At 48.4% G+C, this 24,135-nt stretch overlaps 1 protein-coding gene and 1 long non-coding RNA gene across 7 annotated transcripts in view, besides 1 other annotated feature; one reads left to right on the plus strand and one right to left on the minus strand.

Annotated features, from left to right (window-relative positions):
• Positions 1-5,021: 5,021 nt before the first annotated feature.
• The window catches only part of ZNF251 (zinc finger protein 251), a 34,623-nt gene continuing 15,509 nt past the window's right edge, over positions 5,022-24,135 (minus strand). For 2 of the 5 annotated variants that reach the window (NM_138367.2, XM_024447324.2), the window contains exon 5: positions 5,022-7,495. In NM_138367.2, the coding sequence (NP_612376.1) occupies positions 5,757-7,495 (1,739 nt within the window). In that variant the 3' untranslated portion in view covers positions 5,022-5,756. Of the gene's footprint in view, positions 7,496-22,109; positions 22,873-24,135 lie in introns of those variants that run through there. The other 3 variants (XM_005272356.5, XM_047422403.1, XM_047422404.1) reach the window with 2 other exon arrangements.
• Positions 18,141-19,028: an enhancer, noted in NCBI's record as "H3K27ac-H3K4me1 hESC enhancer chr8:145959413-145960300 (GRCh37/hg19 assembly coordinates)". NCBI's record gives its function as "activates a minimal SCP1, AML or CMV promoter by ChIP-STARR-seq in naive H9 embryonic stem cells {active_cell/tissue: H9 hESC(naive)}" and the evidence as "EXISTENCE:reporter gene assay evidence [ECO:0000049][PMID:30033119]".
• The window catches only part of LOC107986986 (uncharacterized), a 29,711-nt gene continuing 25,485 nt past the window's right edge, over positions 19,910-24,135 (plus strand). The window contains exon 1 of one of the 2 annotated variants that reach the window (XR_001746149.3): positions 19,910-19,996. This is a non-coding gene — a long non-coding RNA (uncharacterized LOC107986986). The remainder of the gene's footprint in view (positions 19,997-24,135) is intronic. The other variant, XR_001746150.3, reaches the window with a different exon arrangement.

The following is a 24,135-nucleotide window of genomic DNA, read 5'->3' on the forward strand; positions in this document are numbered from 1 at the left end:
AAGTTCTTAATTTTGATGAGGTCAATATTTCTCTTTTTATTTTGTCATTTGTGCTTTTGGTATCTCTTTCAAATAACCTGCTTTTGGTTTTCTTCATTGACTTTATTGTTTCCTTTTTTAAAATGTTCATTTTCCCATTACTACTTCTTTCTTTAGGTTTACTCTAATATTCTTTGTCTAACTTCTTAAGTTGAACATTTAACTTCTTAGTATATTAATTTTTTTTTTTTTTTTTAAGAGGCAGGGTCTTGCATAGTCACCCAGGCAGGAGTGCAGTGGTGCCATCATAGCTCACTGCAGCCTCAGACTTCTGGGCTCAAGTAATCCTCTCACCTCAGTCTTCAAGTAGCTGGGACCACAAGCTCAAGCCACCATGACTGGCTAACTTTTGTGTTTTTTGTAGGGACAGAGTCTCACTATGTTGCCGAGACTGGTCTCAAACTCTGGCTTCAAGCAATCCTCCTGCCTCAGCTTCCCAAAGTGCTGGGATTGTAAGCCACTATGCCCAGACTAATTTTTGATTTATAATTATGAAAGTACAATAGATTACTTGACAAAAGTTTATAAATTAATGAAGACTGGACTTAGTAATAGGCTGATTCTTTTTAAGCTCTAAGTAATAGAAGTTGAAGGACAGTATTTTTAGTAGCGATGGGGTTTTGCCATGTTGGCCAGGCTGGTCTTGAACTCCTGACCTCAGGTGATCCGCCCCCCTCAGCCTCCCAAAGTGCTGAGTTTACAGGCGTGAGCCACCATGCCTGGCCTTAAGCTTTCTTAAAGTTTTTATTTAATTATGAACCTGACAAAAGAAGTATATATTTATCATGGACATGTTTTGAAATATGTGTACATTGTGAAATGGCTAAATGGAGCTAAATAGCATATGCATCCTCACATACTTTTTTGTGGTGAGAAAAAAGCTACTCTAGGCAGTTTTGAAGAGTACAATACATTGTTAATAACGATAGTCACCATGTTGTACAGTAGATTTCTTGAACTTATTCTTCCTATTTACTTCCTCCAAAGGACACAAAGGAAATTTGGTACCCTTTGATCAACATCTCCCTGAGCTTTTTTTTTTTTTTTTTGAGACGGAGTCTCGCTCTGTCGCCCAGGCTGCAGTACGGTGGCGCGATCTCGGCTCACTGCAAGCTCCGCCTCCCGGGTTCACGCCATTCTCCTGCCTCAGCCTCCCGAGTAGCTGGGACTACAGGCGCCCACCACCATGCCCAGCTAATTTTTTGTATTTTTAGTAGAGACGGGGTTTCATCATGTTAGCCAGGATGGTCTCGATCTCCTGACCTCATCATCCACCCGCCTTGGCCTCCCAAAGTGCTGGGATTACAGGCATGAGCCACCACGCCCGGCCTCCCTGAGCTTTTTATTTTGAAATAATTTTAAACTTGAAGAGTTGCAATAATGCAGAGAACTCCCAAATAACCTTAACTCAGACTCACCAGTTCTTAACCGTTGCCATATTATTTCTCTTTCACTTTTTTCTGAACCATTTAGAAGTAGGCTTGAAAGAGTCATTTTGTCTATAATTTCCTATGTTCCATATCTTCCTGTATTTCTTCCTGTTTCTTTTTGGGGGTACAGAATATAGGATGAGACACTTTTTAGTTTTAAAATATCTGATTCTAGATGTTTTTAGTATCTCCAGATGCTTGCTTGAGTATATTTACTTCTGTTGTGTTAGTTTTCTTCTGCTCCTTTGACTTCTAGTCACCTTGGACTCCCAGGACTCCAGCTCCATCTCCATCTCCTAAACTTGTAGAGACTGCCCAGCATCTCCTTATGCGCAGGTGGATTTTTTTCCTAGTCTGTCTTTATACAGGGGGTTCAACCCTTTGGGGTTCCAGCTTTAGACAGGGGCCCAGGTTCCAACCATCACCCTCAAGCCACCCAGGCCTGTCTTCATGGGGGCTGTAAACGAGCCCCAGAGCTGTCCTAGCATCAGTTTCCAGGTGGGAAGCTCTGACTTTCATTTCGGTCTTCATTTTTACCCCTGAGGTGTTCCCTTGCTCTCTTGGTGCTTAACCATGCATTGTCCTACTAACATCCTCAGTCCCAGGGTCCACAGCAAGTACGTGTCACAACAGCCCTTAGAGCCACCCACAAGCCCTCCCATGCCCCGGTGCTTCCTTCCATTCTACGTAAATGTGAGGCCTGTGGGCCTCTTAAGGGAGGCATCATTGTGGGACCTTTCCAGTAGATCAGAAGGAGAAAACAATTTTAATGTACCCAGTGTGCTCATGGACAGAGCAGAAGCAGAACACAAGGTTCACATTTACGCAAAGCACATTCTTGGCACTGTTTCCTTTCTCTGCCTCCTTCACCTCTCTTCCTTCCTTCCCAAGTACATCCTAAGCACCTGTTCTGTATCGTGTGCTGGAGATAAAAAGGTGCATAAGACAACATCTCTGACAGCAGAGAGTTCTCCGTATAATGTAGGGTAACGAGGTAGAAAGGAAAATGTAAGTTGAAATGGTGGGGATATGAATGTTGTGCTGTGGGATACAAGGGTAAAAGAGTTATTTTTTAGACGTGGGGGAGGTGTTTTTTTCCCCCATTTTAGAGCTGGAGAAAAAGAGACCCAAGAAGATTCAGTGTTTTCCCTGAGGTCAGAGTGAATCCATTTCAGAGGGAGACAGGACCCTCCAGGTGAGCCTGTGCTATCCACTCCCTCTTTTGTGTGGACCATTCCACATGGACCACACTAAGGCTGGCAATTCCCACACTTGGAAGAGGTTCTGTGATAAGAATTTTAATAATAAAGTGGGGGAGACAGAACCTGAGCGGGGGAATAAGCGCAGCAAATCACAGAATGGATGTTAAACCAAATGTAGCGGTGACCCCAAATTCCCTAAGAAAACAGTAAGGCCAGGCGCCGTGGCTCACGCCTGTAAGACCTGCACTTTGGAAGGGCAAGGTGGGTGGATCGCTTGACTCCAAGAGTTCAAGACCAGCCTGGGCAACATGGTGTGACACCATCTTTACAAAAAATTAAAAAATTATCTGGGTATGGTGGTGTGTGCCTGTAGTCCCAGCTACTTGGGAGCTGAGGTCGGAGGGTTGCTTGAGCCCAGGAAGTCAAGGCTGCAGTGACCTGTGATCGCTTCACTGCACTCCAGCCTGGGTGATAAGAGTGAGACACTGTCTCAAAAGAAAAAAAGAAAACAAAGATGGAATGAGAGATTAACTAAGGTAGGCTCCTTGAAGGGGGGAAATATTTCAGTTAGACCTGGAGGGAATGAAAGGTAGATTTGAAAAAAGATTCTTGGCCGGGCACGGTGGTTCATGCCTGTAATCCCAGCACTTTGGGAGGCCGAGGCGGGCGGATAACGAGGTCAGGAGATTGAGACCATCCTGGCTAACACAGTGAAACCCCGTCTCTACTAAAAAATACAAAAAATTAGCTGGGCGTGGTGGCGGGCGCCTGTAGTCCCAGCTACTTGGGAGGCTGAGGCAGGAGAATGGTGTGAACCCAGGAGGTGGAGCTTGCAGCGAGTAGAGATTGCGCCATTGCACTCCAGCCTGGGCGACAGAATGAGACTCCGTCTCAAAAAAAAAAAAAGAAAAGAAAAGAAAAGAAAAAAGATTCTTGCAGGTAGAGTCTCAGAATTGAAAATCAGAGGCCGGGCGTGGTGGCTCACACCTGTAATCCTAGCACTTTGGGAGGCTGAGGAGGGCGGATTATGGGGTCAGGAGTTTGAGACCACCCTGGCCAACATGGTGAAACCCCGTCTCTAAGAAAAATACAAAAATTAGCTGGGCGTGGTGGCACGCGTCTGTAGTCCCAGCTACTCGGGAGGCTGAGGCAGAAGAATCGCTTGAACCTGGGAGGCGGAGGTTGCAGTGAGTTGAGATCGTGCCACTGCACTCCAGCCTGGGTGACAACGCGAGACTTTGTTTCAGAAAAAAGGAGAAAAAAAAAAAGAATTGAAGATCAGAATTTCACAGGTGATCACACTCTGAGAAACTACTACAGTGTTATTCAAACTTCCCAATGAAACTCTTTAAATAGATGCTTACTGATCAAACCATGGTCAATAGGAGAATGCAAATTAAAACCATGGATACCACTACATCTCCACTAAAATAGCTAGAATATTAAAAAATGGACAATACTGCTGGGCACGTTGGCTTATGCCTGTAATCCCAGCGCTTTGGGAGGCTGAGGTGGGTGGATCACCTGAGGTCGGGAGTTGGAGACCAGCCTGACCAACATAGAGAAACCCCGTCTCTACTAAAAATACAAAATTAGCCGGGCGTGGTGGTGCATGCCTCTAATCCCAGCTTCTCAGGAGGCTGAGGCAGGAGAACCGTTTGAATTGAACCCGGGAGGCGGAGGTTGTGGTGAGCCGTGATCGCGCCATTGCACTCCAGCCTGGGCAACAAGAGCAAAACTCCGCCTCGGAAAAAAAAAAAAAAAAAAAAGGACAATACCAAGATCTGGTGAGGATTCAAAGCAACTAAACTCACACATCATCAGTGGGGATATACAACTGACTTTGTAAAAGTTTGGCAGTTTCTTAAAATGTTAAACATAAGCTTACCATATGACCCAGCAATCCCACTCCTATTTACCCAAGATAACTGAAAAGTTAGATTCACAAAACAGCCTGTAGTTGATACACAGTGATGGCAGCTTTAATCATAGTTGCCCATACTGAAAATGCCCAAATACCCTGCCATGGGTGAACGGATAAACAAATGGCTCCATCCATACAATGGAATGCTACTCGGTGCAAAAAAGCACTCTACACAGGCAATATGGATGACTCCAATGCATCATGTTCAGTAAAAGCAGCCACGTGCAAACAGCTGCACACTATTTCTGGAAATGGTGAGGTGATGGATAGAGGATAGAAAACAAACCAGTGGTTTCCACGGACTGGGGTTGAGGAGGGGTTAACCACAAGAGAGCACAAAGGAATTCTGGGTGGTGGTGAAGATGTTCAATGTCTGGAATGTGGTAGTGGCACAATTGTATGTTTTTGTCAAAGCCCAAAGAACTATACACTAAAAAGAGTAAATTTTATTGTTTATAAATTATGCTTCAATAAACCTGCCTTTAAAAAATTTTTTATCAGTAATTACAATTTTCAAAAGTGGAGATACTTGGTAGGCCCCTGCTTTCTTGGCCCCTAAGGTCCCTCTCTCTGTTAAACTGTAGAGCTCCTTAGAACCAAAACCAAACCACCTTTCATTTTAATGAAAATGAAATGCAAAAACTGGGGCTCCAAGCAAGGAAGAAACGTCTACCTGCAGTTCATCTGGGGGTTGGTGGGAGAGGTGGTGGAGAGAGTAAGGCTAAGCGCCCCCAGCAGGCCCAAGTTCTCTGTACCACACTTGGAGGCAGGTATATGGGACTGAAAGTGGATGTTCTCAGCCACAAGCCTGGGCCTGGATAGGAAACAAAGGATAAGACTGGAAGGATGTCAGGTAGGGTAGACCCAGAGCACCAGCTGGGCTCACTTTTCACGCCCTCCATCCATTCGTCATGAGTATCCGGATACAGCACCACACGGTTCAACTCCTGAGCACAGCAGTAACCTTTACACAGACAGCCTGATTTCCCAGAATGAATTCTCGTGTTTACTTCCAGATTTAATGACTTTGACTTTAGTAGTCATCTGAACTATTTATTTTACTTTGCCAGTAATATTTAGACCTTATATATCTTTCATTATGCCATCTTATCTTCTAATGTCAAGTGAACAGTTGCTAAACTGTCTTCTGCATTTATCACATTAAAAATGTCTTTCTTGGAAAATCTTCTTGATATGAATAAAGTATCTTTTAGAGCCATCATTTAAAGCAGGTTTCTCTCCAACACGAGTCTGCTGAGGTGGTGTGAGCTGTGAACTCTGGCTGAAGGCTTTCCCATACACACTGCAATGACATGGTTTCTGACCAGTGTGAGTTACCTGATGTTGAATAAGGGTTGACTTTCCACTGAAGGCGTTTCCACATTCTTGACATTTATAGGGCTTTTCCCCAGCATGCATTATCTGATCTTCAGTGGGTCGTGAGGTGGGACTGAAAGCTTTTCCATATTCATTACATCCAAAGGATTTCTCACCAGTGTGAACTGTCCAGCGCAGAATGAGATTTGCACCATGGTTAAAGGCTCTGCCGTGCTTCTCTCCAGTGGGAATCTGTCCATCTGCTGTGAGGCTGGAGCCATGAACAAAGGCTGGACCATGTTTTCTGCACTTACGAGTCTCTCCGCTGTGAACTTTCTGATGCTGAATGAGGGTTGACCTCCGGCTGAAGGCCTTCCCACAGTCACCACAGTCATAGGGCTTCTCTCCAGTGTGAACTCGCTGATGTAGGGTGAGCTGGGAGCTCTGGCTGAAAGCTTTCCCACATTCAACGCACTGGTAGGGCTTCTCCCCAGTGTGAACTCTTCGATGCTGAACAAGAGTGGAACTCCGACGAAAGGCTTTGCCGCACTCATTACAAACATAGGGTTTTTCTCCTGTGTGAATCCTTACGTGTTCAGTAAGATGAGAGTTAAAACCAAAGGCTCTGCCGCATTCATTACATACATAGGGTTTCTCTCCAGTATGAACCCGATGATGGAGGAAAAGGCTTGAGCTCTGACTGAAGGCCTTCCCACACTGATTGCATTTATGGGGCTTCTCTCCAGTGTGAATTCTCTCATGCTGAATAAGGCTGGAGCTTCGACTGAAGGCCTTCCCACAGTGACTGCATTCATGCGGCTTCTCTCCAGTGTGAATTCTCTGATGCTGAGTTAACTGGGGGCTCTGGCTAAAGCCTCTTCCACATTCATTACACTTGTAGGGTTTCTCTCCTGTGTGAATGATCCGATGTTGAATAAGAGTTGAGCTTCGACTGAAAGCCTTCCCACACTCACCACAGCCAAAGGGTTTTTCTCCAGTGTGAATTCTCCGATGAAGACGGAGGTGAGAATTGAGTCCAAAAGTTTTCCCACATTCATCACATTTAAATGGTTTATTTCCAGTGTGAATGTGATGGTGCAGAACAAGATTTGAGCTGTGAGTAAAGGCTCGCCCACACCGGCCACATTCGTACGGCTTCTCCCCAGTGTGACTTCTCTGGTGTCTACTTAGGTCTGAATTATATTTGAAGGTTTTGCTGCATATATCACATTTAAAGACCCTCTCTCCTGTTTTATTTCTTTGAAGTCTAACAACATTTTGGTCCAGATTCAAGTTTCTATCAAATGCACTACACTCTTGGGTTCTTTCTCCCAAAGATCTTTCCCTGCCCACGGTAGCTTCTGTTAAAACTCTCTTGTGAATATTGGGTTTGTTCAAACTCTGCCCGGCAGAATTTCCCACGCGCTCTTTGAGTTTGCCCTCACGGCCCCATGCTTCCCGAAACTCAGCGGCCTGTGCATTATCCCTTAAGAGTCTTCTTGATACAAATTCTGGGGTTTTTACTTCTTCGGAAAATTTTTGGTTTAAAATAGATAGTTCCTTCTTGGTCCCAACCTCAGAATCTGTTAAAGAAAAATATAAATGAGTTACTAGAGAAAACCTTCCATCAGGCATAATGTCCATAATGTGGTAGAAGCTCCTATAAACCATCATGCAGAAGGCAGATGCTCCAATAGGAAAAGATGTGAAAGGCAGAATTCAGAAGTAAAGATGGGATGGCCAATCAACAGGATAAAAATATTCAAGTTCATTAGTTATCAAAGTAGTCAAATCAAAACAAATTACGATTTTTCACCTATCAAATTGGCAAATTATTCAACAAATATTTAGAAGGCCAGGCGTGTTCTAGGTAAGGAATATACAGGAAGGTAAATATAGTCTCTGATCTCATGAAGCTTATGTTCTACTCAATTAGATAGCAAGTAAGTTCTTAAAAATAATGATACACCATGTGACAGAAACTGTGTAAATGTGTTATTGGCCCCAACCTAGTCTACATGGTCAGAGAAAATGCCAGGAGTGAGATTCAAGCTGAAACCTGACAAAAGAAGTAAGTTAGCAGTGACAGACAGGAAGGCCTGGGCCTGGCTGTGATGCACAAAAATATCCACCGAGTTCCTGATGTAAAGAATCTGGGCCAGGGCCAGGCGCGGTGGCTCACGCCCGTAATCCCAGCACTTTGGGAGGCCGAGGTGGGCGGATCACGAGGTCAGGAGATCGAGACCATCCTGGGTAACACGGTGAAACCCCGTCTCTACTAAAAATACAAAAAAATTAGCCAGTCGAGGTGGCAGGCGCCCGTAGTCCCAGCTACTCAGGAGGCTGAGGCAGGAGAATGGCGTGAACCCAGGAGGCGGAGCGAACCCGGGAGGCAGAGCTTGCAGTGAGCTGAGATCGCGCCACTGCACTCCAGCCCGGGCAACAGAGCAAGACTCCGTCTCAAAAAAAAAAAAAAAAAAAAAAAAAGAATTAAAGCAACAATCATGCCGTGTACTGTTGGTGGGACTGTAAATAAATGACCTTTTTTTGAGATAGTGTCTTGCTCTGTTTCCCAGGCTGGAGTGCCACGGTGCAACCACAGTTCACAGCAGCCTTGACCTCTCAGGCTCAAGCAATCTTCCTGCCTCAGCCTCCCAAGTAGCTGGGACTACAGGTGCAGGCCACTGTGCCTAGCCAAAATATAACTTTTTTAAAAAGCTGACAATATGTAGCCAAAAAATTGATATCTCACACACCCTTTGTCCCCCAAACTACTCCCCTAGGATCCATCCTAAGTGGACTGCCATATGTACGTTGAAATGACTACAATGATGCTCGCTGCATTTTGTAATTGGGGGGAAACAAGGAAGAACCCAAATGTCCAAAAACGGGGCTGTTTAAACCCAGTAAAAACTATTCACATAATGGAATACAATTCTACCATTATTATAATAGAAAGATATATAATTAAATGAAAAGCTCATATTACAAAGAGAAGAATCAGGTTCTAAAATTATATGCACAGCATAAACCAACTTTTATTGAACATAGATATATATGTAAGATAGTTGCTATTTCTTCCTTAACTGTTTAGTACAAGTCGGTGAAGCCATCTGGGCTTGGCATTTTTTCTGAGGAAGGGTTTTAAATTATGAGTCAATTTATTTAGCACTCAAACAATTATGTATCCACCACCACCTTTTTTCTTTCTTTCTTGTTTTTTTTTTCTTTGAGACAGAGTTTCACTCTTGTTGCCCAGACTGGAGTGCAATGGCACGATCTCGGCTCACCACAACCTCCACCTCCTGGGTTCAAGCGATTCTCCTGCCTCAGCCTCCCGAGTAGCTGCGACTACAGATGCTCACCACTATGCTCGGCTAATTTTTTGTAATTTTAATAGAGACGGGGTTTCACCGTGTTGCCTAGGCTGGTTGCAAACTCCTGAGCTCAGGCAATCCGTCCGCCTCGGCCTCCCAAAGTGCTGGGATTACGGGCGTGAGCCATCGCACCCGGCCTCTTTTTTTAAAAGACAGGGGCTTGGAGTACAGTGTTGTGATCACAGCTCACTGCAGCCTTGAACTCTTGGGATCAAGTGCTCCTCCCACTTCAGGCTCCCGAGTAGCTGGGACTACAGGTGTGCACCACCTGTAGTCTGGCTAATTCCTTATTTTTTTGTAGAGACAGGGTCTCACTGTGTTGCCAGGCTTGTCTCCAACTCCTGACCTCAAGCAATCCTCCTGCTTCAGCCTCCCAAAGTGCTGGGATTACAGGTGTGAGCCACTGCACTCAGCCCAATATATCTTTTTATGATAGTCTGAAATATCTAGGTGGTGCCTCCTTTTTCATTTCGGTTATTTGTTCATTCTGTTTTATTCTTCATCAGTTACATCCAGAAAACAGAGACATGCTACATGCTCCAACAGTGTATGTGAGGTTAATTCATCTTTGATACCAAAATTTGACAACAGTACGAGAAAACAAAACTGAAGGCTGATCTCATTCACAATGACGGATGTAAAATCCCTAAACAAAATTTTCAGAAGCCAAATCCTGTCATATATGTAACAAGGATAACACATCATCAACAAGTGGGTTTATTTCAAGAATGCAGTGTTAGGCTGGCGTGGTGGCTCACACCTATAATCCCAGCACTTTGGGAGGCCCAGGAGGGTGGATCACTTGAGGCCAGGAGTTTGAGACCAACCTGGCCAACATGGTGAAACCCCATTTCTATCAAAAATACAAAAATTAGCTGGGTGTGATGATCCTCACCTGTAGTCCTAGCTACTCGGGAGTCTGAGACAGGAGAATTGCCTGAACCCAGGAGGCAGAGGTTGCAGTGAGCTGAGATTGTGCCACTGCACTCCAGCCTGGGCGACAGCGAGACTCTGTCTCAAAAAAAAAAAAAAAAAAAAAAAAAGAATGCAAAGTTAGTATAGTATTAGAAAATCAGGCTGGGCACAATGGCTCACATCTGTTATCCCAGCACTTTGGGAGGCAGAGGTGGGCAGATCACTTGAGGCTAGGAGTTCAAGACCAGCCTGGCCAACATGGCAAAACCCCGTCTCTACTAAGAAATATGTAAAAATTAGCCAGGTGTGGTGGCGCATACCTGTAGTCCCAGCTACTCGGGAGGCTGAGGCAGGAGAATTGCTTGAACCAGGAGATGGAGGTTGCAGTGAGCCAAGATTGTGTCATTGTACTCCAGCCTGGGTGACAGAGTGAGACTCTGTCTCAAAATAATAATAATAATAAAAATAAAGACTATTAGAAAACTTAGCCAGGCATAGGTTGGGCGCGGTGGCTCACGCCTGTAATCCCAGCACCTTGGGAGGCCGAGGCGGGTGGATCACAAGGTCAGGAGATCGAGACCATCCTGGCTAACACGGTGAAACACCGTCTCTACTAAAAATACAAAAAATTAGCCAGGCGCGGTGGCAGGTGCCTGTAGTCCCAGCTACTCGAGAGGCTGAGGCAGGAGAATGGCGTGAACCCGGGAGGCGGAGCTTGCAGTGAGCCGAGATCGCGCCACTGCACTCCAGCCTGGGCAACAGAGCAAGATTCTGTCTCCAAAAAAGAAAAAAAAGAAAAGAAAAAAAGAAAACTTAGCTGGGCATGGTGGTGCACACCTGTAGTCCCATCTACTCAGGAGGCTGAGGTGGGAAGACCACTTGAGCCCAGGAGTTTGACATTAGTCAGTTATGATGGTGCCACTGCACTCCAGTATGGGCAACAGAGGGACGCCCTGTCTCTGAAAAAAAATTTTTTTTAGTGAAAGAACCCAAACATTGAAGAGTGTATGCTGTAAAATTCCATTTATAAAAAGTTCAAAACCAAGCAAAACTCAGTGATTATCCCTGGGGCAGTAGTGCCTGGCAGGGACACCACTAGGCTTCTGTAGAGCTGATAATGCTTTGTTTCCTAATCTGTGCCGGTTCCATGGCTGGGTCTGATTTGTAAACATTCAATAAACAATACAATTTGTGTACATAGTCCCTAACAAGAGAGGCAGCCTGTCCTTTGAAGCTTTGAAGCCAGGCATTGCCTTCTCTCTAGCTATGGGAGTCCTAGATGGCATCTTCTTGCAATAGAAGGCTGTTTTGTCTACACTGAAAATCTATTATTCAGTGTAGCCACCTTCATCAATCATCTTAGCTAGGTCTTCTGGACAACGTGCTGCAGCTTCTCCATCAGCAGTGGCTGCTTCACCTTGTGCTTTTGTTATGGAGACTACGTCTTTCCTTAACCCTCATGAACCAACCTCTGCCAGCTTCAAGGTTTTCTTCTGCAGCTTCCTTACCCCTCTCAGCTTTCGCATAATTGAAGAGAGTTGGGGCCTTGCTCTTGAGGCGAAGCTTTGGCTTAAGGGAATGTGTCTGGTTTGATCTTCTATCCAGACAGTTTGAGGGGGACTGAAACTGTCTCCATATCAGCAATAAGGCTGCTGTACCTTCTTGTCATTCATATGTTCACCAGAATAGCACTCCCAATTTCCTTCAAGAACTTTACTTTTTACTGTTATTTTCTTTTTGAGACAGGGTCTCACTCTGTCACCCAGGCTGGAGTGCAGTGGTGTGATCATAGCTCACTGCAGCCTCAAACTCCTGGGCTCAAGCGATCCTCCTGTCTCAGCCTCCTGAGAAGCTGGGACTACAGGCTTGATCCACCACGCCTGAAGAAGTTTTGCTTTGCATTCACAACTTAGCTAACAGACGCAAAAGGCCTGGCTTTGGCCTGTCTCAGTTTTCACCGCACCTTCCTTACTAAACTTGGTCATTTCTAACATTTGCAATAAAGCGAGAGGTGTGTGACTCTTCCTTTCATTTGAACACTTATAGGCCATTCCAGGGTTATTAATTGGCCTAGTTTCGATATTGCTGAGTCTCAGGGAATATGGAGGCCCTAGGAGAGAGAGAGGGAGGTAGGGAATGGCTGATCAGTGGGTCAGGACAGCCAACACTCATCGATTAAGCTCACCGTCTCATACAGGCAGAGTTCATGGTGCCCTTGAAACAATTACAATAGCAACATTAAAGATCGCAGATCACAGAGCACCATAACAGATATAAAAAAAAGGTTTGAGGCCAGGCGCAGTAGCTCATGCCTGCAATCCCAGCACCTTGGGAGGCCGAGACGGGCGGATCACGAGGTCAGGAGATCGAGACCATCCTGGCTAACATGGTGAAACCTCATCTCTACTAAAAATACAAAAAATTAGCCGGGCGTGGTGGTGGGCGCCTGTAGTCCCAGCTACCCGGGAGGCTGAGGCAGGAGAATAGCATGAACCCGGGAGGCGGAGCTTGCAGTGAGCCGAGATCGCGCCACTGCACTCCAGTCTGGGCGACAGAGCAAGGCTCCGTCTCAAAAAAAAAAAAAAAAAGGTTTGAAATACTGCAAGAATTACCAAAATGTGACACAAAGAAGTGAGCACGTGCTGTTGAAAATGGCACTGACAGACTTGCTCAACACAAGGTCGTCACAAACCTTCAATTTGTAAAAAAAAATGTTCGCCAGGCGCAGTGGCTCGCACTTGTAATCCCAACAGTTTGGAGGCCCAGGGGGGCAGATCACCTGAGGTCAGAAGTTTGAGACCATCCTGGCCAACATGGTGAAACCCTGTCTCTACTAAAAATACAAAATTAGCCAGGCATGGTGGCGCGCGCCTGTAATCCCAGCTACTTGGGAGGCTGAGGCAGGAGAATCACTAGAACCTGGGAGGCGGAGGTTGCAGTGAGCTGAGATCGCGCCATTGCACTCCAGCCTGGGCGACGAGCAAGACTCCATCTATGGAAAAAAAAAAAAAAAAAAAGCAGCAGTATCTGCAAAGCCACAACAAAGTGAAGTGGAATAAAATGAAGTGTGCCTGACCTATATTCATGTTAAAATTTAAAAATACGAGTTTACTCCTAAAGCTCCTGGTTATAAAAGTCAAAAGAAAAATTGGGATAAAAACGAAAACAAAATTTTATGTCATTTTCTCCATGCGTAGTGCCCTTTTAGCAAGCATATAAGATTCCTTTTATTTATTTATTTTTATTTTTTTTTTTTTTTTTGTGAGATAGAGTCTTGCTCTGTCGCCCAGGCTGGAGTGCAGTGGCGCAATCTCGGCTCACTGCAAGCTCCGCCTCCCGGGTTCACGCCATTCTCCTGCCTCAGCCTCCCGAGTAGCTGGGACTACAGGCGCCCGCCACCACGCCCGGCTAATTTTTTGTATTTTTAGTAGAGACGGGGTTTCACTGTGTTAACCAGGATGGTCTCGATCTCCTGACCTCGCCATCCACCCGCCTCGGCCTCCCAAAGTGCTGGGATCACAGGCGTGAGCTACCGCACCCGGCCTAAGATTCCTTTTAAATGCCAGGGTCCTCCCTGATGTCTCATATCAACGTAACTGCCCGCTTAAAAATAGATCTCTTGGGATGGGCATGGTGGCTCGCGCCTGTGATCCCCGCACTTTGGGAGGCTGAAATGAGAGGAGAGCTTGAGCCCACGAGGTGGAGGCTGCAGTGAGCTGAGACCGCACCTCCGCACTCCAGCCTGGGCAGCAGAGTGAGACCCTGTCTCTGAAGAACCAAAACCAAAACAGATCTCTCATCAGGCTATCAACAGGTTACATGTGTTTTTTGTGACTACTCAGATAAAGATGTTCAATTGTAACAGTTTCTCAACATTGCAGGCAGGGCTGAGCCCACCCAGGGCTGGCGTTGTTCCCAGGAGCGGGTGCCCTCACCCACCAACTCGAGGCCGCTCACTCACTGTGCAGCTGTATGGCAGGCCCAGCAGTGCCTCTCCCTTCGTACATCACCAGAGTCGGCTGAAAAGTGCCAAAAGAGAACTCAGGAACCAAACAGGGAAGTGGAGAGCCATGTTTTATCCACCGGGCCTAAAGCCCCTCCAGGCGCGGGGCCCAGAGCGCCAATCCCTGGACTGAAAGAGCAGCAAGGGTGGGCTCTGCTGCCGCCCAGAGGCCTTCCGTGGTAAGACAGCCACGGAAAGCACAGCGCGTGCCGCTGCGACGGGGCGTCCCGGGGGTGACACTGGCATGTGACGCTGCGACGGGGCGTCCCGGGGGTGACACTGGCATGTGACGCTGCGACGGGGCGTCCCGGGGGTGACACTGGCATGTGACGCTGCGACGGGGCGTCCCGGGGGTGACACTGGCATGTGACGCTGCGACGGGGCGTCCCGGGGGTGACACTGGCATGTGACGCTGCGACGGGGCGTCCCGGGGGTGACACTGGCATGTGACGCTGCGACGGGGCGTCCCGGGGGTGACACTGGCATGTGACGCTGCGACGGGGCGTCCCGGGGCAGGGCCCTGCCAAGGGACCCCCAACAAACACGACTGAAACTCAGCCTGGATACAAAGTCCACATGGAGGCACTGCCAGAGACGCCTGCCGGGCCAGGTCAGACATGGCGGTAGGGCAGGACAGGACGGAGCCTGTGGCTCTCCGGGGTGCCCATCACTAACCTCCTTCTTGGACACCCCCGAAACACACTCGAAACTTCTAATGCAGGGCACCTGTGCTCACCACTGCCCCTTCAAAGGCGAACAAACAAAAACAGAATCATCTTTCCCCAGTTGGCTGACAAGATCTTACTCAAGATCTCATGCCATTCAGACACCCAGTGACGGTCGTGGGAACCGCCCCCCTCAGAGGAGACAGCAGCACCTTGGGCACTGTGTCGCGCAGACACATGGGATTAAGACTGAAGACGGACTCTCCTCCAACTGCCCCAACAGGACTTAAATGCTTCCAGATGATGGCTCCCCCGGAGGACCGAGGAAGCCCCATGATGTTAGGGTTCACTACACTGACGTCATCCACGGGATGCCTGGGCCATGAGCTAAGGCCACCTTGCTTCCTGGTCTAAGTCTGGCACAAACCACACACAGGAGCCTTGCTCCCCTGCAAGTTTAGAATATCTCAATCAACACTTTAGTCAAAATGACCACAAACAGTGGCTATCAGAACCATAGTTTCACGAAACTATGCAGTTCTTCGTCTTCCTCCAGCTCCAAAAGTGTGTGTTTCCTCAATGGTATACTGTGTACCGATGGAACTTTCTGGGCAACAATAACATTATATATCTTGATAGAGGTTTGGTTTACACAAGTGTGTCTATTTGTTAAAACTCAGCAAATTCACACTTAAGATTTGTGCATTTCATTTATATAATTTTCACCTCAAAAGAAAAAACTGTAAACAAACACTGATCTCCAATTAATGACACATATGTATTTAAAGGAAGCGTCCTGTTAGTGCTGCTTCTTTGTTATTTTATGTATGTTATCTATGCATTTTGAGACAGAGTCTTGCTCTATTGCCCAGGCTGGAGTGCAGTGGCACGATTTCTGCTCACGGCAACCTCTGCCTCCCAGGTTCAAGCAACTCTCCTGCCTCAGCCTCCTGAGGAGCTGGGATTACAGGCGTGAGCCACCACGCCCTGCTGATTTTTTGTATTTTCAGTAGAGACAGGGTTTCACCATGCTGGCCAGGCAGGTCTCGAACTCCTGACTCCAGGTGATCCGCCCACCTCGGCCTCCCAAAGTGCTGGGATTACAGACATGAGTCACCATGCCCGGCCCAATAATTTTAAAAGTAAAAATAAAATTAAATTCAATAAAGGACATGTCCTGACAGCTGCATTTTTTTTTTTTAAGACAGAGTCTTTCTCCGTCACCCAGGCTGGAGTGCAATGATGCGATCTCAACTCACTGCAACCTCTGCCTCTCAGGTTCAAGTGATTCTCATGCCTCAGCCTCCGGAGTAGCTGGGACTACAGGCATGTGCCACCACGCCTGGCTAATTTTTTTATTTTTTTGTAAAGACGGAGTTTACCATGTTGGCCAGGCTTGTGTCAAACTCCTGGCCTCAAGTGATCCGCCCACCTCAGCCTCCCAAAGTGTTGGGATTACAGGTGTGAGCCACTGTGCCCAGCCTTGCAATTTACTTTAAAAACAAAAACAAAGTACATGATGGGTCTGGTAGAGGGATAGTGGGATAGGGAAACATGATTTCCAAGCATGATAAATGTTAACACAGAACCTTGGTGGTGGGTGTATGGGTCTTCACTATAAAGCTCTTCCAAATTTGATGTATGTCTGAAATCTTCCATAACATGCTGGGGGAAAAAGTGCTGTACATCAATTCTAGATAATTCAAAACCTATGCACGATTGACAGGTCATGGTAAAAAGACGAGTTGGCCAATTACATTAGACTGAGCCAAGCCGGGCGCGGTGGCTCACGCCTGTAATCCCAGCACTTGGGGAGGCCAAGGCGGGGGAATCACGAGGTCAGGAGATGGAGACCATCCTGGCCAACACGGTGAAACCCCGTCTCTACTAAAAATACAAAAAATTAGCTGGGTGTGGTGGCAGGCACTTATAGTCCCAGCTACTTGGGAGGCTGAGGCAGGAGAATGGCGTGAACCCGGGAGGCGGAGCTTGCAGTGAGCCAAGATCGCACCACTGCACTCCAGCCTGGGCGACAGAGCGAGACTCCGTCTCAAAAAAAAAAAAAAAAAAATACATTGGACAGCCTTAGAACCTATCAGACCTCAAAAAACAAACCACAGTAGGTAACTTAATACTAGCAGCAGTAATAATTTGCTTGTATGTAATAAATTGTTGATAAAGGCCAGGCGGGGTGGCTCACACCTGTAATCCCAGCACTTTGGGAGGCTGAGGCGGGTGGATCATCTGAGGTCAGGAGTTCGAGAGCAGCCTGGCCAACATGGAGAAACCCTGTCTCCACTAAAAATACAAAAATTAGCCAGGCGTGGTGGCATATGCCTGTAGTCCCAGGTACACGGGAAGCTGAGGCAGAATTGCTTGAACCCGGGAGGCAGAGGTTGTAATGAGCCGAGATCATACCACTGCACTCCAGCCTGGGCAACAGAGGGAGACTCCGTCTCAAAACAAAACAAAACAAAAATGTTGATAAAATATTACTTAAGTTGGGTGTGGTGGCTCACGCCTGTAATCCTAGCACTTTGAGAGGCTGAGGTGGGAGGATCACTTGAGGCCAAAAGTTTGAGACCTGCCTGGGCAAGATGTTGAGACCCCACCTCTAAAGCAGACCACAGTGCAGCACGCCTGTTTCTGAGCTGCCTCCGCATGTGCTATGCTCTTTGACATGAGCTCCGGCTGCCATGAGGCCTCCGGCAGCGGCCTGAGTTCCCAACCCCTCCCTCTTGGTCCCTGTGGGTCAGAGGCCACCGCTACAACCCCACCTACACACAGCTGCTTGACTGGACGCAAAACCTGGACTGATAATGGAGCAGGAGCCCTCCTTGGACGTGTTTGCTTCAAACCCTTGCACCCCTCTTCTCCATCTGGGCTTCCACCCATACCCTGGAACCCAGGAAGGCAGATGCCCCAGATCCTCGCCCTCCATCCTCTCTCCTCGCGCCGACCTCCATGTGGCCTTCAGGCGTGCCGTGTACCCCCAAGACATATACGTAAGCAAATCTTTATTTTCCATCTTGTGTCTGATCACTGAAGAGGTTTTCTCAAGAGAAACAAAAGGAAAAAAGAAAAAAAGAAAAAACCCTGGAACAGCTAACACCGTTGCTGGGAGGGAGCGCACCCATGCTTAGCATGAGATGCTTCAGCTGCGCCTGGCTGACTAAAATCACCGCCAGTGGGGACAACTACATCTGGGAAGACAGAGATGCCGCTAGGTCTGTTCCGCAGCCGGCAGAATCTTAGGCTGCACGTGCCAGATGCCTAAACTGTGCAGCCTGAATGACTGTTGGGCAGGTAAGCGTGGCTCTGTGTTTCCGAAATCCTGACCCAGGAGGCGCCCACTCAGACCACAGTCCCTCTGTTGGGACCTTCCCATGCCACACCTGCCTGGTGTTTTCCTTTGTCCCAGCGCTGAGCCGAGCGGAGCTCCTGGCTGTAAGGACACCTCCCGTGGCGTTCACAGGTATCCAGGTCTACTGCAGACCCCAGACCATGGGCAATCCCTGCAGGGCTGGTCATGACCCCTTGCAAATATCCATGCTTTGTCCCTGTGGCTGTCGGCCCTGTCCCCCAACTCCAGCGGGTGTCACGGGTCTAATCCCTGGCACAAACCGGCTACGATTGGTGGGCAAAAGCAAATGCCCTGAGCACCCGGTTCCTGCCCCACCGGACGCTGGAGGCCTCCACCTGGCTCTGAGATGAGTGTAAGGCTCACAGCAACGGCATGAACTCTACTTGGTGCCGCTGGCCCTGTGGTCCTGGGGCCTGGGGGCCAACCCTGACACCAGAAAATGACGGCGCTGGTGGGTGCTGACCCTGGGTCAGTGACCTCCCACAGAGGTCACTGGGACACCCTGAAGAGGGAGGCGCTGCCTGAAAGGTAGGGACACACAGAGGTCACCCTCAGATTCTTCTGGTAATAATCTCAAAGGTCAAAATCACAGGAGACGGGCGAATTAGAACTGGAGACCAAAATTCCTCTGTGGTAGAAAATTCAAATTTGTCTTAAGGGATTTTGCAGGCCGGGCGTGGTAGCTCACGCCTGTAATCCCAGCACTTTGGGAGGCCGAGGTGGGTAGATCACCTGAGGTCAGGAGTTTGAGACCAGCCTGACCAACACAGAGAAACCCCGTCTCTACTAAAAATACAAAAATTAGCCAGACGTGGTGGTGCATGCCTGTGATCCCAGCTACTTGGGAGGCTGAGGCAGGAGAATCACTTGAACCAGGGAGGCAGAGGTTGCAGTGAGCCAAGATCGCACCACTGCACTCCAGCCAGGGGACAAAGCAAGACTCCGTCTCAAAAAAATAAAAAAAAAAGAGATTTTACATTGGCTGGGCATGGTGGCTCACGCCTGTAATCCCAACACTTTGGGAGGCTGAGGAGGGTAGATCATCTGAAGTCAGGAGTTCGAGACCATCCTAGCCAACATGGTAAAACCCCATCTCTACTTAAAATACAAAAATTAGCTGGCCAGTAGTGGAGTGCACCTGTAATCCCAGCTACTTGGGAGGCTGAGGTGGGAGAATTGCTTGAACCCAGGAGGCAGAGGTTGCAGTGAGCTGAGATCACCCCATTGCAGCCTGGGCAACAGAGCAAGACTCCGTCTCAAAAAAAAAAAAAAAAAAAGAGATTTTGTATTTTTGTATTGCCAGAGTGAAAAGGGGGCTGGCCAGCTACTCAGGGCATGTAGTACCAGGTCAGAGTTAGCGCTCACTCCCACAGAAATGTGTACTAAATTCCTCCAGGACACTGGCCCACATCCCCCACATCTGTCCCTCAATGTGGCCAATCCCATGCCCACAAATCAGAAAAAGCACTGACGAGGTCACGGAAGCCTCACCGGGTGGGAAGGACGGGCGCACTCGGAGCCTCCGTGCCGTGGATACTCAAGGTGTGGCCCAGACTCAACCGCCCACCATAGTGACAACAGCCAGAGCTCACTGTAGAGTGGCCCTGGAGACCACACCCACCTCCTGCTAAGTGATGGCAGACAGCAAGAGGGGTCTGTTGTCTCTTTGAATGCCACTGCCGGGGTACCATGGGACTATCTCCAGTCCTGAAGAGGCTCCTCTCAGTCACACGGCAGCTCTGGACAAGACTTGTGCAAAGGTGAGACATGGGCAGCTGCTTCCTGGTGCTCGGCAGTCGCCTGCTGAGGGCCCCCAGCCGGACCTCAACTGACCCTGGCCCCCCACAGCGGGACCCAGGCCTCACCATTATTTTCCCTGAGCACCTGGAAACCCTTCCCCAAATCCCTGGACTAAGAACCGGACCCTCATGGGCCCCCACGCTGGGCGGCTGTGCCCAACGCCCTCATCATGGGACAACCAGAAAACAAGCTGGTGGCCGTCAAACACCTGGGCTCACGCAGCCGCATTTCTGAAGGCTGAGGACCCTCGACAGCCTGTTCTCACAGAACACTAATACCCTCCCTCCTTTCCCGACTTGAGAGAATGGCAGCCTCCTCATCCCTTAGCCTGGGGACTTGGTGGTCCTCCAGGGACTATCCCACTCTGAGGGGACAATTACCCTTTTACTACTCTATTAATTGGGACAAGAAAAACTTTCAGTACTTTATAAGGGGGCCCAAGTCACAGTAGTTCCTGAGGAGCCTACAAAAGGGAAAGCTTTTAAAATAAAGGGAATCACGAACAAACCCTCGGGAGTTCACCTTCCTTTATTTTATTTATTTATTTATTTATTTATTTATTTATTTATTTATTTATTTATTTTTGAGACAGAGTTTCGCTCTTGTTGCCCAGGCTAGAGTGCAATGGCATGATCTTGGCTCACCGCAACTTCCACCTCCTGGGTTCAAGTGATTCTCCTGCCTCAGCCTCCCAAGTAGCTGGGATTACAGGCAGGCGCCACCACGCCCAGCTAATTTTTATATTTTTAGTAGAGTTGGGGTTTCTCCAAGTTGGTCAGGCTGGTCTTGAACTCCCGACCTCAGGTGATCCATCTGCCTTGGCCTCCCAAAGTGATGGGATTACAGGCGTGAGCCACCGTGCCCGGCCTACTTTATTATTGTTAATTTTTGAGATGGAGGTTTTTTTTGGTTCTTGTTGCCCAGTTTGAAGTGCAATGGCGTGGTCTCGGCTCACTGCAACCTCCGGCTCCCGAGTTCAAGCAATTCTCCTGACTCAGCCTCCCAAGTAGCTGGGATTACAGGCGCCCACCACCATGCCTGCTAATTTTTTTGTATTTTTAGTAGAGATGGGGTTTCACCATGTTGGCCAGGCTGGTCTTGAATTCCTGACCTCCGATGATCCGCCTGCCTTAGCTTCCCAAAGTGCTGGGATTACAGGCGTGAGCCACGGCACCCGGCCTATTTTATTTTGCTTAAGACAGTCTTGCTCTGTTGCCCAGGCTGGAGTACAGTGGATGATCTCAGCTCATGGCAGTCTTGACCTTCCAGGCTCAAGCAATCCTCCCACCTCAGCCTCCCGAGTAGCTAGGATTACAGGTGCTCACTACCACACCCAGTTAATTTTTGTATTTTTAGTAGAGATGGGGTTTTACTATGTTGGCCAGGCTGGTCTTGAACTCCTGGTCTCAAGTGATCTGCCCGCTTTGGCCTTTTAAAGTGCTGGGATTACAGGCATGAGCCACCTGGGAGCTACTCGGGAGGCTGAGGCAGGAGAATGGTGTGAACCCGGGAGGTGGAGCTTGCAGTCAGAGTGCAGATCTCGCCACTGCACTCCAGCCTGGGTGACAGAGCGAGATTCCGTCGCAAAAACAAACAAACAAACAAACAAAAAACCAGCTACGAGGCTGGGCGCAGTGGCTCACACCTGTAATCCCAGCACTTTGGTTGGGAGGCCAAGGCGGGTGGATCACAAGGTCAGGAGATCGAGACCATCCTGGCTAACACGGTGAAACCCCGTCTCTACTAAAAATAGAAGAAATTAGCCAGGCGTGGTGGCAGGCGCCTGTAGTCCCAGCTACTTGGGAGGCTGAGGCAGGAGAATGGCGTGAACCCGGGAGGCAGAGCTTGCAGTGAGCCGAGATCGAGATCGCACCACTGCACTCCAGCCTGGGCAACAGAGCGAGACTCTGTCTCAAAAAAAAAAAAAAAAAAAAAAAAAGGGTTATGCTATCACCCCACATAAAATACAGGGGCCGGTGCCTTCAGTAAAATTCTTGGGCACTGTCTGGTCAGGGTGCAGCAGATCCTATTAATCGTTAAACATAAACTGCTGACACTGTTACCACCCACAGGTCTTTGACGGACACATTTATTTGGATTCTTCATGTTTTGGAGACAAGAGTTTCCATATCTTACTCTAATACCCAGACCCTTTTCTGCCATAACCTATAAAGCAACCACCTCTCAGTGGGGAGGCTCCACAGCCCTCACCCGGCCCAGCAGGCGGCCCAGCACACCATGCCACCATGCCTCCAGGTCCCACTCTTGCATGGAAGCTCTGGCGACACCCACTCTGCCTCGTGGAGTCTCAGGAGGAAACATGGTCCACCTGGTTGCCCATGGGGTTCTGAACTCAACAAGCCCCAAAGAGCAGCTCAATATGCCCCGTAGAAAGGCAAACGCTATCCGCCTATTGAGCTCGATTAGAAACTGAGGGTCCCACACTGAGTGGAAGCAGCACCCCTGTGGACTCCAATCCCCACCATGCCACAGCTCAGGACACCTCCCACCCAGCACAGGCAGGTGCCTCCTTGCTACATGGAAATGGCAACTGCGGGACCAGGCTGACCTGACACACAGGGTCTTCCCAAACTCCAGGAGGGTGTGGCTTTACTCATCCCCGGCCCCTTCCTCATGGTGTTGGAGGACCAATCAGTCAAATTGGCAGCCTCGTGATGCAACATGCCTGCAAGTCCAAACTGCCTTCTGCCCATAGATTTAGACTCAGTCAGGCAAGTGGAAACAGCACAGTTCTCTCGTTCAAGGCAACCTCGTGGGGGCACCTGTTTGTGGAAACAGGATGGTTTTCTTGTTCAAGGCAACCTCGTGGGGGCACCTGTTTGTGGAAACAGCACAGTTCTCTCATTCAAGGCAACCTCCTGGGGGCACCTGTTTGTGGAAACAGGATGGTTTTCTTGTTCAAGGCAACCTCATGGGGGCACCTGTTTGGGAAGAAGTTGCCTCCTAAGGGCTTCCTCACTTTAGTCTGCAAGGGATCACAATAAATGCAGGGTGACACTTGAAACAGCGCCAGAGATGCACACAGCAGCCCTCCCAGGGGACTACAAGGCCTTCCTGACGGGGATGGCCAACTGGGGACACACCATTCATCCACCTGGACAGCCCCCATCTCATGGGGGATGACATCGCTCCAACTTCAACACCGAGAACACAGACCCTCCCTGCTGCTGACTCCCATCACGACTCCACCCCTCCAAACTAGGATCACAAATCACGACTCCACTCCCTGAAACCAGGATCACAAATCACAACTCCACTCCCCCAAACTAGGATCACAAATCACAACCCCACCCCCCCAAAACTAGGATCACAAATCATGACTCCACCCCGCCAAACTAGGATCACAAATCACGACTCCACCTCCCCAAACTAGGATCACAAATCATGACTCCACTCCCCAAACTAGGATCACAAATCATGACTCCACTCCCCCGCCTAAACTAGGATCACAAATCACGACTCCACTCCCCCGCCTAAACTAGGATCAAAAGGGTTGCCTCTGTCCAACTATGGACTTGCAACTAGACTCCAACCTACAGGGCTTTCTACAAAATATAGAGCCCAGGGATGCCAGGAACCTTATTTTGCTGAAATAGCCTACGCTTGACATATGAACTACATAGCAACAAAAATGCCCAAAGTGCCGGAATTACAGGTGTGACCACTGTGCCCGGAAACCTCATGTATTTTGATGCTGTAATCCCAGCACTTTGGGAGGCCAAGGCAGGTAAATTGCTTGAGCCCAGGAGTTCAAAACCACCCTGACCAATATGGTGAAACCTTGTCTCTACCAAAAATACAAAAATTATCTGGGCATGGTGGAGCGCACCTGTAGTCCCACTCAGGAGGCTGAGGCGGGAGGATCACTTGAACCTGGGAGGGTAAGGCTGCAGCGAGCCAAGATGGCACCACTGCACTCCAGCCTTGGTGACAGAGCAAGGCTCTGTTTCAAAAAAAAAAAAAGCATTTCATTATCTGGTCCCAGTGGGAACAAAGTTTAGCTCTGAATCTTCTCATGTCTTCTTCAGGAAACCACAAAAATAACAACAGAAAAATACATGCCAGGTGCCATGGCTCA

This window comes from Homo sapiens, chromosome 8, assembly GCF_000001405.40.
Source record: "Homo sapiens chromosome 8, GRCh38.p14 Primary Assembly".
NCBI classification, from domain to species: Eukaryota; Metazoa; Chordata; class Mammalia; order Primates; family Hominidae; genus Homo; species Homo sapiens.